The 12,185-nt window shown below is 41.4% G+C and overlaps 1 protein-coding gene across 19 annotated transcripts in view, besides 2 other annotated features; it reads right to left on the bottom strand.

Annotated features, from left to right (window-relative positions):
- Nucleotides 1-12,185, bottom strand: part of SETBP1 (SET binding protein 1) — a 388,438-nt gene that overhangs the window by 254,445 nt on the left and 121,808 nt on the right. The gene's annotated exons all lie outside the window — the stretch shown is intronic.
- Nucleotides 10,450-10,932: an enhancer, noted in NCBI's record as "ENSG00000152217_18:40637097-40637579 (NCBI36/hg18 genome assembly) insert fragment". NCBI's record gives its function as "drives selective reporter gene expression in differentiated C2C12 myotubes {active_cell/tissue: C2C12}" and the evidence as "EXISTENCE:reporter gene assay evidence [ECO:0000049][PMID:22144875]".
- Nucleotides 10,991-11,040: an enhancer, noted in NCBI's record as "active region_13256". NCBI's record gives its function as "activates an Ori minimal core promoter by ATAC-STARR-seq in GM12878 lymphoblastoid cells {active_cell/tissue: GM12878}" and the evidence as "EXISTENCE:reporter gene assay evidence [ECO:0000049][PMID:35858748]".

Genomic DNA, 12,185 nt, shown 5'->3' with positions numbered 1-12,185 from the left:
TTGCCTGGGTCCTCCACTAGATTGGGGGTTTCTGGAGGGCAAGGGCCCTCGTCTTTATTTATCATTATTTCCAGCCTATAGGACTTGGACTCTATCACGGAACAGAACCAAAGGACCTGCAGATTCAACCTGGCAGACAGGGCCTCCAGCACTCTCCTACAACTCCAGGAGATTTGGAGGTTCCAGGGTTAACAACAAAAAACCCATCAGTGTTCCCATGTCCAGAAACAGATGTGGTCCATTAGTGTGTGAGCATTCCGAGGAACCTGAGGGTCTGACTCAAATCTTACATCTGCAGCACTCAGGACACTGCTTGGCACGTTCTGCAGAATTACTATGTGTTTCTTGCATAAATTAATTCCTGAATACAAGCTGGATCCATCACCATGTTCTCTGTCTTTCCTCAGAAGGCAAAAGCTGCGTAAGTTTCCCTTTTTAATGATGGCAAAATCATAGAAATGTAGAGCCTAGATGGAATTGGGGAGCTGGTTCCAGCTTCTCATTTGCAGATGGCAACTCTGAGGTCCAAGATCTCACAGAAGACACCCTGCTCCCAGTCTAGCATGCACTCAGCTCTGTCACACTGTCACATTTTGCAGGAAATCCAAGCCTCAAGAGCTTGCAAGGCCAATGGCTGAGTGGGCTATTGGCTTCTTTCTTTCCAGCCCTGTCCAGCACTTGTCTCCCCATCATGAAGAAGAGTTTCCTTTAGGAAAGGGAAAAAAAAAGCCCTTCTACTTCCCAGGAAACAGCCAGAAGTTTTTATATCTTCTGCCATGTAAAAACATGGGGAGGAGCCATCACCATAGGGTATCTTCCAAAGGTAATGCCTCCATTTCAAAGATAGCCTGAAAGGACATGGCCACAGAATGGAGTGTTCAACTTTAATTTTGTTTAAGTGTAGGACATCAGTGGGAAAGACTCTCAGAGAAACACTTGTGGACAAAGTCACAGAGAAACCGCATTGGTTTCTTTCTTTCTTTTTTTTTTTAAGTGGACTCATTCCTTTTTACCTTTTTACATCCTGTATCCTCTCTGTTCTGTGGACAACTGATTCTCAGAATGAACATGTCACTGATGTGGCCCCAAAGAGACCTCTGATGTCACCCATGGCTAATGCCATGGAAGGGACAATCTTGGCAACACTTCTGGCCTGTGAGGTTTTCACATCAAGGAAAATAATCTTGAAATAAGAGAAATCCCAGGCCTGCTGAAGTGTAGCATTTTCTCACATTTTAGCCCTCATCAAATTATAAATGCAAAGAAAATGCTGCCCCATAAGGTATCCTTTTCCAGCTTACATATTGGCTTCATCCCAGTTCACATATAGAAACTTGATTTTCAAGGTGTTGGCAGGAAGCAATACAATGAGCAATTGGGGCACAGACATCAGTGCTGCCACAGAAAAGGCAACTCTCCTGGAGTCCACAGGAGAGAGGCAGAGATACCCAGCCAGGGCACCAACAGATCCCTTTTGCACTGTCCACATGGACAGTGCTCCATGCCAAACCAATGAGCAAAAATATCTCACATGCAATCATGAGGAGAATAATTAATTATTGTTCATTTAATAAAATAGTGCAACCCACAAGTGCTTGAGAAAACATTTTTTTCTTGCTCTCTTAAGGCTATTTTACGGCCCTGACACTATTTTCTAGAGGAATCTAGGAGCACTAAAAATCAATCCAAATTACAAGCAAATCATAGATGGCCAAAGGGAAACTGTGTATCAAGAAAAAATTATTGAATTTGCAAAAACATAAATTTATTCAAGTATTTTAGGAATGACATCATTATCACTGTGGTATAGTCTTAACCTCTGCAGGGGTGTATGTGGCGGTGGGGGACAAGTGGGGGTGTGCATGTGCCATGGGATAGCAGGACTGGGAGAACAGAGGTAGAGAGCCATGTCTGCAGAGACTTACATGCAGCTCTCCTCATGAGAGTCTCCTCATGAGAGCCCCATACCAATACTACCTCCACTTCTCTGCAGGCCCCTAATTCTACAAGCCCTGGGTATGTTGATGGGGCAGCTGCTCAGGCCACCCAGTCAGATGCTTCTGGGCCTCCTACAGCTAATTTCTATGGGGAATGGGATCAAGCTGTTATTCTCTGGTGAATCAGCTGTCCTGCTCAGAAAAGCTGCCACACAGGTCTTTAAAGCATGAAAAGCCAACTGCCTCCCTTCCAGTGTCAGCATTGAGACCAACCACCTCAAGAATTCTGATCTCTATGGGGGATCCCCAGAAACAGGTCTTGACTTGGGGCCTTTTGCATACCCAGAGCCATGGCAGGCTTGTAGTCCTCACAGGGACATGAACAGCTGTGTTGCTTAACTCCTCCTCATGGTAGGGGAAGAAAGGCAGATGTTGACATTCAATGTGAACTCAAAAGTTTAACTGCAACTTTAAATAGAATTGCTTTCTACCCCCTTCATTCCTTAGTTCTGTTGTTATCTTCAGCAGTCATAGTTCCACTTAGGAATGTATACTTCATACCCACGCAGGTACAGGTTACAGAGTCATATGACTGCACAGCAGCAGAAGGGCAGAGAATGGTCACCCTTCCAGAAAACCCATTCTCTTTACCGCAGTCAGCACAAACAATTTGCCAACCTGTAATTACTTTCATTGATATCTCCCTCCTTTGGCAAAGCATGTGGAGCAGTATGGAAGAGACACACATGACAAACGATGTGTGTACACACAGGTGTGAGCAAGCACATGCATATGTGTGAGCACGTGTGTATGTGTATTCATTTAAACATCTCTGCCTGGATGAATGTTCAGAGAGTGATGGGCGGATGGATCAAGGTTGCAGCCCGGAAAATGTTTTGCAAGGCTAGATTTGTCTCTTCATGAGTAAATAAAGTATGTTATGTTTTCAAAGAATTTCAAATTTCAGGTCTGGTCTAATACCTTATGGCAAGCTGTCTGCAAAAGACTCAAGGAGAATAAGCAATAGAATTGTTCTCAAGAAGTCTGTGTTCAAGTCCTGACTCTTAGATCAAACAGGAGGTCTTCAGCACCTCCCCTCTTGGAGTTTCAGCATTCTAATCTGGAAAATGAGGAAAGTGAATCTTTACTGAGTCATGAGCCCCCTTCAGAATCTTTTGAAATTTACATGGTTCGCCCCAGAAAATGCATATGTTCATATGTGGATATAATTCTGCATGACATTCAAAGGAATTAATCACCTGAAGCCAATTTCTGGGTGAGGCAACATCCAGTGTCCCTTCAGGCTTGAGAAAAATCTCTTTTTTAATATTTCTGAGCAAGAAAATTGGAGCCTGTGGGCTTCCATTTCAACTTCTCTTTTCCTCATTCCCTCAACCCAGTGATCTACATGGAAATTTACAGCAAGCTTTGAAGTGCTCAAGTTCTAGAAAACTACTTCCCAAACCCAAGTGGACATGACATGATAAGGAACAAAAGATATTACAATTAGGATCTCCAGACCCTAAATCAAACATTATTCACTCAGCTGTGGCAATGATCATTTGGAAAGCTTTGGGAATGGAATTCTCCTATGCTGTTTGGGGGTTCCATTATTCAAATGTTACTTGAATCTGACTGTGAATGGACACCAGGAAACCATAAAAAGGAAAGAGGCATTTTGCTTTCAGCCAATACTGTAAAGTTACCAACCCTCCATCTGTATTAAGGGATTCTAGAGCACTTTTCATTGTGTTCCTTAAAAATGACATAATGTTAGAGCTTAGGAGGCACCTTATACATTGTCTAGTTCAATTTTCCCAATGTTAGATGGGTGTTCAGGAAGGAGGGCCTGCGCCAGGTAGAATTGAGGCCCAGATCCAGTACTATCGATTCTCAAATCTTGATTTTCTTTTCCTTGTCCTTTGCTGCCTGTTTTGGAGACCCCATATGGGAGAATAAAGCAGACTGAATATGTTGGGAAGAGAGGAAAGGTAGGAATATTTTGAGAAATGAAGAAAAGGGTACCCAGGATAAGAGCTCCCCACTGCTTTACTTTCTAATAAATGCAGTGATAAAATCCATTAAATCCACAAGGACCTGTAAAAATGAGGGAGAAAATAGTTCTTGCAGGGAGGCCCTAAGGACAATTTGCCTTTTGCAGGGCAGATGGGATAAGCCTGGAGAACGTGGTGGTCTCAACACTAGCTATTCTAATGGGGTGTAGGGACCCTTGCTTTCTGCATTAGATTCTTTCCTAAAAAGGGTTATTCTGAGTGTTTCAACCTCCTAATCTTCCTAACCTCTTATTGTCCACTGACCCACAGGCTTCAGAGCTTCTCATATATAATTTGGATGGATCTCCCATGAATCAGGCTTCCTAACACTTGGGTTTGAGTTTTCTCTGCTCCTTTCACCCCTCACCTCCTTCCCCAACCCTAAGGTAATGAGCTGTGGCCAATGAGACCAGAGCTCTTATTAAAAGAACAACATCATCTGTACTGAGATTGCATTAGGGACAAATTGCTTGACAGAGCCTCTTCCCTGGATCCAGAAAAATACTAAAGGCCATGGGTAACTTTTCAACTTGATTTTTATGGCCTGGTTCCCCATATATCCCTTCCCCTCACAGTTCCAAGGATTATTTCAGGATTTCAGATGAATTTTCCTTTTAAATCCTAAGGTCAGGAATCAAATGTACACATTACTCTTCTCTGAGACATGTATGTCCAGACTGGGGAAATGAGAGTAATTTCTTGTTTTGAATTTCTTTTTTTCTTCATTTTGAAATAGGTTCTTCCTTGGTCAGTTTCTGAAGTCTCTTCCCAGTCCTACTACAGAGAATGCTTGGGGTCAGCTTATTCATGTAATTAATTTTTTTAAACTTTCATCTTTGCTGGATTTGCCTTTATAGGAGAGTGAAGGGAAACCTCATGTTTCTAGGATCAAGCTGTGGTTTGAAAGATTCATCCAACTATTTCTCACATATTCCTCTTTCAAAAAATCAAGTTTCCAGAACTTCTGCTCTGTTTTCTCTGTTGACCACACACGAACCTTCCAGTAGTTGAATAGAAAAAGGCACTATTCTCACTGGGAAAAGAAAAGGCACCCAGGCCAAGAATTACCTTTCAGGATTCTGCTGCCAATGATTAAAACACAGAAGGAATCTGCACCATTGGTTATATACTGCTGCGGGAACCTAATCCTGCTTTGCGTGAGATTTGTATCCAATTGGTGATTAGGATGAGGGAAAGCAAGGATTTGTAGCAACTCCCAGTTACTCATAAGTAGCTGGTTAATGGTATTTTTGTTTGTTTGTTTTGTAAGTCTTCCTTGATCAATTTCTGAAATCTCTTCCCCAGCCCTACTACAGCAAATGCTTAGGGTCAGCAAGAATCATGTTAGCCTGGATCAAATGTAATTAGAGGGGGAAACAAGCTCTGGAAGGGAAATTCGGTTTCTCAAATGCACTTCCTGCTGGTTCCTCCTGCAGCTCACCATGTGTTCCAGAAAAGCTGATCTCCTCAGTGGCCCCAATGAGGGTCCTGACCGCTTTTCTGTCGACGCATGTGCTGTGTTCTTACAATTACTCTCCTTTCACTCTATACATCCCACCCAGCAGAGGCTTCTCAGCCCACCTCAGGTCTCCCCCTGAAGACTTCCTGAGCTACTCTCGTTGGCTCTGACCTTTCCCAACTCTGAAATGATGGCTTCAAATGAAGCTTAATTGGTAAATGGTAAATGTCAGTTGAACTAGTGAAGACTTGAAAATGAACCACACATAGATGGGTTCTGCTGTGGATGCTCAGGGGCTAGTGGAGAGGCAAACAAAGAAACAAAGATTTATAAAGACATGTGAAGGAGGGTAGATCAGTCAGGGTCTTAACAGGAAAGAGATGGCACATCCAAATCATGATTGTTAAGGAAAACTAATTTACAATCGTGTGGATAGATGAAAGGGAAGCACAGGAAGTTATTAACAGAAAAGCTGTTACTGCCTCTTGGCTTAAAGCACAAATAGGAAGGTACTGGAACGACAGGAGCCTCCAGAGTGCTGGTGGGGTTTTGATATCTTTCACCTCCAATCTAGTTTCCATTCTGTCACCAGAAAACCTTTCTAAGAGCCAGATATGAAGATTCCACTGCCTATTCGTAGGTTCTGATGGCTTTGTTGACCCTGAGGGTAAAGTCCAAATTCCTTGGTTTGCTCCTTCTGGCTGTGCAGCCTCAGGACCCAGCCCACATGTCCAGCTTGTCACTTCCCCCACCCTGAAGCTGCCATCATCTATACCACCATGCCCTTGTGAATTCCATTTTCCCCCCTAACTGGAACACTGTCCACTTTGGTCTCCTCTGAGGCTGGAAAAGATGTTGGGTTCCAGCAATAGCACTGTGCAGGACACCCTAAATTAGCAATATAAATCTTTCTAGAAATGAAGATCCTACTAGTTCCCTTACAACAGGAATAATTGAAAAATTAATCAAGGAGGCATAAATGGACTTCAGCAAATAAATCCAAATTGGTAAGATGTTGACTGGCCCAGGGAATTCTATATCATTTCCATTTGGGAGTTTCTGTTGGCTCTCAGAATCAAAGTGAAACTGCTAAGTACTCTCGGCCAGAAACATCTCAAAGAAAAACAAACAAACAAACAAACAAAAAATCCAGCACCAAATATGAATGGAAATGTCTCTACAATGGCACATGGATAATTTAAAATAGGATAGAAAAAGTTTTGTGATTCTGAATTGAGTAAAATAAATGTAAAATGCTTACTGATAGAGTACTTACTAATACTTTAGCAGAAGATGAAAAAAAAAAGACTCTTAAGATGGAAAAATGAAATCAGTGGCCGTAAACTTTAGATCTACAGTGCAAATATACAACCAAGAAATAAACTATATGTACAATCTATAAAATGTGGTTTTAATGTATACTGTTCCCTGTGTTCTGAGCCTCAGTCTGAGCTCACATTATATTGCCAAGTTTGTGCTATGCAAAATGATTGCCACAGAAAAAAATATAAGATTCCCACTGTTACCTTCCAGAGCTTACAGTGTAGTTAGGGGGTGAAGATTAACACACTCAATGCAGTTTTGAACCCAGTTCTATATTAGCTCTCTGGGGCTTACTGAGAACAATAATGGAATCCTGAAATGGAAGCTGCTGGTTCAGGCTGGGTAAATCTACATGTAAAGTTAGACATTAAAAGATGAGAAAGCAATGGCTAGGTGGCACGCAGGAGGGAAACTGAGTCCTAAACATAAGGACACTATGTTAAAGCACCATTACCAAGCCAGATGCAATGGCACATGCCTGTAGTTCCAGCTATTTAAAAGGCCGAGGTTGGAGGATTGCTTGAGTCCAGGAATTAAATAAGGTATGATCACACCTGTGAGTAGCCACTGCACTCCAGCCTGGGCAATGTAACAAGACCCTATCTCTTAAAGAAAAAGCACCATTGCCAAAAAAAAAAAAAAAAAAAAAAAAAAAAAAAAAAAAAAAAAGGAGCTCATTATGAGCCAAAGTCTACTACGGAAAAACAAAGTTCAGTCAGAAAACGTAGGCTAGTTTTCAGCATGTTAAGAGTTTAAGTGTTACTAGTAGTCACATAAGTGAGAAAATCAAAACAAACTGGTACATAAATATATAGATATCTTTGTGATAGCAGAAAGACACACACATACAGCGAGACAGAGAGAGAAACTTAGAATGAACCTTTCCTGAAAGATATGAAAAGGAGAAAATATTACACAGAAGAATCAAACATGATGCATTAGCAGGGGACAAGGTCTTGTGACCACTCCTGCTAAAATATGCCAGTGGCAGAAGACAGATTCACAGGCTTTAAGAAAAGCCAAAAACAGAGTTTGAAAGTTATCCATAAGGGAAAACAGATTTTTTAAAAATAAACAAAGATCTCTTTTTCTACTTTCTCCTAGGTAGATTAACTTTTCTTCCACATTTTTCTATTTATTCTCAGCTTCCTAAAGTGGCATTTCCTTCATTTAATGGTAGGCAGGTGCATGTATGCACACATGGTACTTCAGGATAACAGAAATATCAAGAAGTGTGTGACAGAGGCAAAGAGGAAAAGAAGGTCTGGGGCATGACTTCTAGACCCTCCAGCACACTTTCCTGCCAAGCATGGAGGATCTACCAGACTTCTCCCCTGAAATTTAGTTCAGACACCTATAATTTAGCATAGAACAATGAGGCTGGATGAACTAGTGCTCCCCCTAGCCCTACCACTGCCTTATCTGATTAACCTTAACTGAGTGAAGTGTTACTTCCTTTGCTGAAAAAATGAGTTGTGCCAGCCAAGCTCTCTTTGGATGCCCAAACCAAAGGTGCTCTAGCCCTACAAGCTCAGCGCTGAGCTCAAGGCCATGGTCAGGCTATGGCGAAATCAAGAAAAAGATGACAGTCTCTGCCATCAAGGAAATAACGATCTAGATCAGAAGAAAAAGCAAATGCCTGAAATAAAGAAAGAACAGTTTAACAGACCATGGAAATTCATATGAAGTTACCAGGACAACAGAACATAATCAAAGTTAAAAAGGAGATGTCCAGGGTAAAAACACCTTTGGAGAAGTCCAAAATTGCTTTGTGAAGGGGTTGAGATTTGAGCATAGAATTGAATAACTGGTAGGTTTTGAGACGGTGAAGGAAGAGAAGTACACGTACAAACACACCCACACACACACACACACACACACACACACTTACATGTGCATACACATGGACCCACAGCCATCCCCATGGGTGTCTGGCAGCTGCTAGACACACAGAATAAGTTAATCCCTCAGACATATGGCTGAGCAGCAAATAAGCAGGTTCCCAATGTCACCTTTCAACATGCTAGGAATACTTTTATTATTTTATTATTTAATTACTTGGAGTCTTAAACGGTTTCTCATCTTTAAAGTCTTCTGATACATTTAAATCCCTAATTTAAATCCCTAGAGAGAGAAAACTTCCTCTATCAGCTCTCCTTAGACTTTAGTTGTATGGACAAAGTGTAGGGACTGCAAACAGCCTGAGATCTTGGGAGAAGCTTGAGTCCAGGAGTTGAAGCACACACAGTGCTTATTCCAGGGGAGGCCAGGATCCTGCAGCAGCCTTGTGTCTAAGGCTTACAGAGGAATTTCCCATCATCGTTTATGTCTCACTGTGTGTTCTGTGAAACACATGTCACACAGACTGATAGGTGACATGGCCTGGAGGAGTGGAAGCCTTTGCACAGGGCCCTTAAGGATGTTCCCCCATATCCGGAGAAAAAAACCATGAGAGTGTAAGAAACGATGCAAGCTCTATCAGAAATCACCATCCCACGTTGAGCTCATTCTTTTTACTAATAAGAAGAGGGCTGGATTTAATGGTCCCCAAATCCCTTTATAATACTCAAGTTCTCTGTTTGTGTGCTTGGGGCAAGTTGAACCATATTTATGGGCTTTTGCCTTCCTCATAGTGGATAGAACTGCATGTTCTCTCATAGACCATGAGAATTATGAAAATACTTTGGGATCCTTTAGTAAAAGCATTCATTCTTTTTAAGGTACCCATTAAAAGGGAGGGGAAAACCCAGATCCCAAAACCAAATCTTGCAAAATAAGTTAGCCACAGGATTACTTTCGAACAGCTCTCTTACCCTATTCTACCTGTCATATTCTGCCAGAATGTTCTCCAGGCTCTCCACGGACTCTACAGTTTACAAAAATTCATATCTCTTCAGGAAAATATCTGCTGCTTGAAATGAGGTTCACATGATTTGAAGCAAATTAGAATATTCCATGATGAGGAATACATAACATTTTGGTCAAAATCGCCTGGCCTAAGCCCATCTACATATTCTCCTCTTTCATCCTCATAACCTGAATGGAAATAAATGTCACACACTGACTCACAGACTTGCACAACCATGCACACACTATATCCTCCACTTTAAGACATAAGAGATTAACTTGTTCAATTTTATAACCTCTTGGTTTCCTTTCTTTGTTTCAAGTGCCTCTCTTTTTTCAAAATCATGTGTATTTGGGCAACTGGTTTGCCAAAAGGTATGGATGGCTAAAAACAATTTACTTATTGCAGACACAACCTCTTACCTTGTCCTGATAACTAATTAGCCAAAAGAGTGAGGGATGAAAAAGGAGAAAAAAAATAGTTCCAATAATATGCTAGTTTACCTCATACTTCTCTGTCATTTTGCAACAGACCATGAGAAGACATCACTACTTAATGAAAAAATATTCAATTGTCTAAATCTGAGTTTTCTTCCTGAAAACAGTAAATTTTAGCTAGATAGGAAAAAGTTTCTTTTAAAGAATATACCCTGTTTAGAGGTGGATAAAGTGAAAGAGTTATAGAGAAAAATTAAGAAATGTAAAGAATGAGAAAAATAGTGAAAAAGAGGTGAAGAGAAAAGAATACAGAGAGAAAAGATAAATGTAAGAATTTAAGAATGGTAGTTTAAAGATGCCCAACTCCTTGTTTTCACTATTGAGGAAGTGAGACCTAAAGTATGGAGAGGGGAAGAACAGGAAAGCTGGAAGAGGAAAAGTGAAAAGAAAGAGTAATCAAGAGAGAAAATAATGGAGGAAAGGGAAAGGGCAGGAGTCTCGAAGCAGCTTCTGGGAGACTCAGTCTAAGAAGTGCATGTCTCTAAGAAGCACATTCTGTCCTGGCTATCAGATGCAATCCTGTGGACATGACTGCACCAGCTATATTTAGCTCCGATGTAACTCAAGTCAATAGTGTTCCATTAGGGCAGCTGCTGCAGAGTCCTGAAGAAACGTTTTACTACCTACCCTGGAACAGCCGTGCCAAGGGCCTGGGCCTTCACAGCTACAGAACTCCACTGTGTTTATATACAAAGGAGCAGCATTTTGAACATAACTGATATGACTGTTAACATAGTTTAATGGCCTGCTATATAACAGAACAGCACTTTCAGAAGACCAAAGTCATTACTCTCGGTTCCTAAGGATGTCCCTTCCCCCAATCCCTGCAAGCAAATATTGGCCCTTACCTTATATGGTGTGTTCTCTCCCGAGACCTTCTCTGGTTTTCTGATCTTTGCTTTAACTCCGCATGGGGCTCTGTGCTTTGGAAGAATACTTTTCAACGTCTACTCAAGGACACCCAGGCCCAAATGACCCACAGAAATACCTACAGGTTTCCTCTGATGCCAGGGGAACATAGCTGATTCCTACTGAAAACAAAACAAAAACAAAAAACAAACAAAAAGCTTGGTTCTTGGAGGACTGGCAGGTTACCGACGTGCATACCCCATGGCCAGAAATGAAGACCTGCTATTACTAAGGAGAAGTGAAAAGTCTAGGAATAGTTGAGAAAGCCATGCTTGACCTGAATAATTCATTAAGTAACTATGAGTCATCGTTCTGGATATGGCATCTTATTAGATTTTGTGAGACAAACCACACATAGGCATTCCCTTCTCTCTCAAGCAGATTCAGTTATGATGTGTGCATAAAGCAATCACATGGGTGGGACAAGGAATAGATACATGGGCTCAAGATGAATGCTGAGGAAGGAAGATACACCTGGAATCTAAGAAGTCTAGGAATATTTTTCAGAGGAAGACACTCCTTTCTTGAAGAATGAATGGGGTACTGACAAGGAAAGAGAGCATTCCAGTTGAATGAGATCAAATAAGCAAAGTTGTCGCTTATTCTTTGGTTGTATATAGTCAGACACTTTCGCAAAGCTAAAGTCCCCAATCCTGTGCCTTGACAAGTATCAGTGGGTCTTCATAATTGATTCCTGGAACAAAAGCCATCTGCACAAAGGTTCTTTCCAAGAATCAACCTACTTATCTATGAATCTTTCTTCCATGAAACCAGACTAGGAAAGGTGAGCAGAAACTATCATAGAAAATATTTGGATCCTCAGAAGAATGACTGTCTCTGTTTCAGAAAAAGATTCAGGGCCAGTGACATTGATGCAAAAAAAATGATGGAAGCACCAGCTCTGATCTGAACCTTGAAAAGGAGATTCCCTGGAGGACGGTGTATGCCAATTATTTCTGCCTGGCAGAGGAGAGCAAGAAAGGAGGCAAGTGCCAGGTGGGGTGAGAAATTTACTGTAGCCAGAGTTCACCTACAGGCTGTCTAATTCCTTTAACCTGGGCTGGACTGAAGGGCTGAGAAGAACATTCTCATTAGGGTATGAAATGGATCATTTCCAGTGGCCAGATGGTTCCCCATAAATACATTAATGACTTTATA

This window comes from Homo sapiens, chromosome 18, assembly GCF_000001405.40.
Source record: "Homo sapiens chromosome 18, GRCh38.p14 Primary Assembly".
Classification (NCBI taxonomy): domain Eukaryota; kingdom Metazoa; phylum Chordata; class Mammalia; order Primates; family Hominidae; genus Homo; species Homo sapiens.
This window is presented reverse-complemented; position numbering and strand designations above follow the sequence as displayed.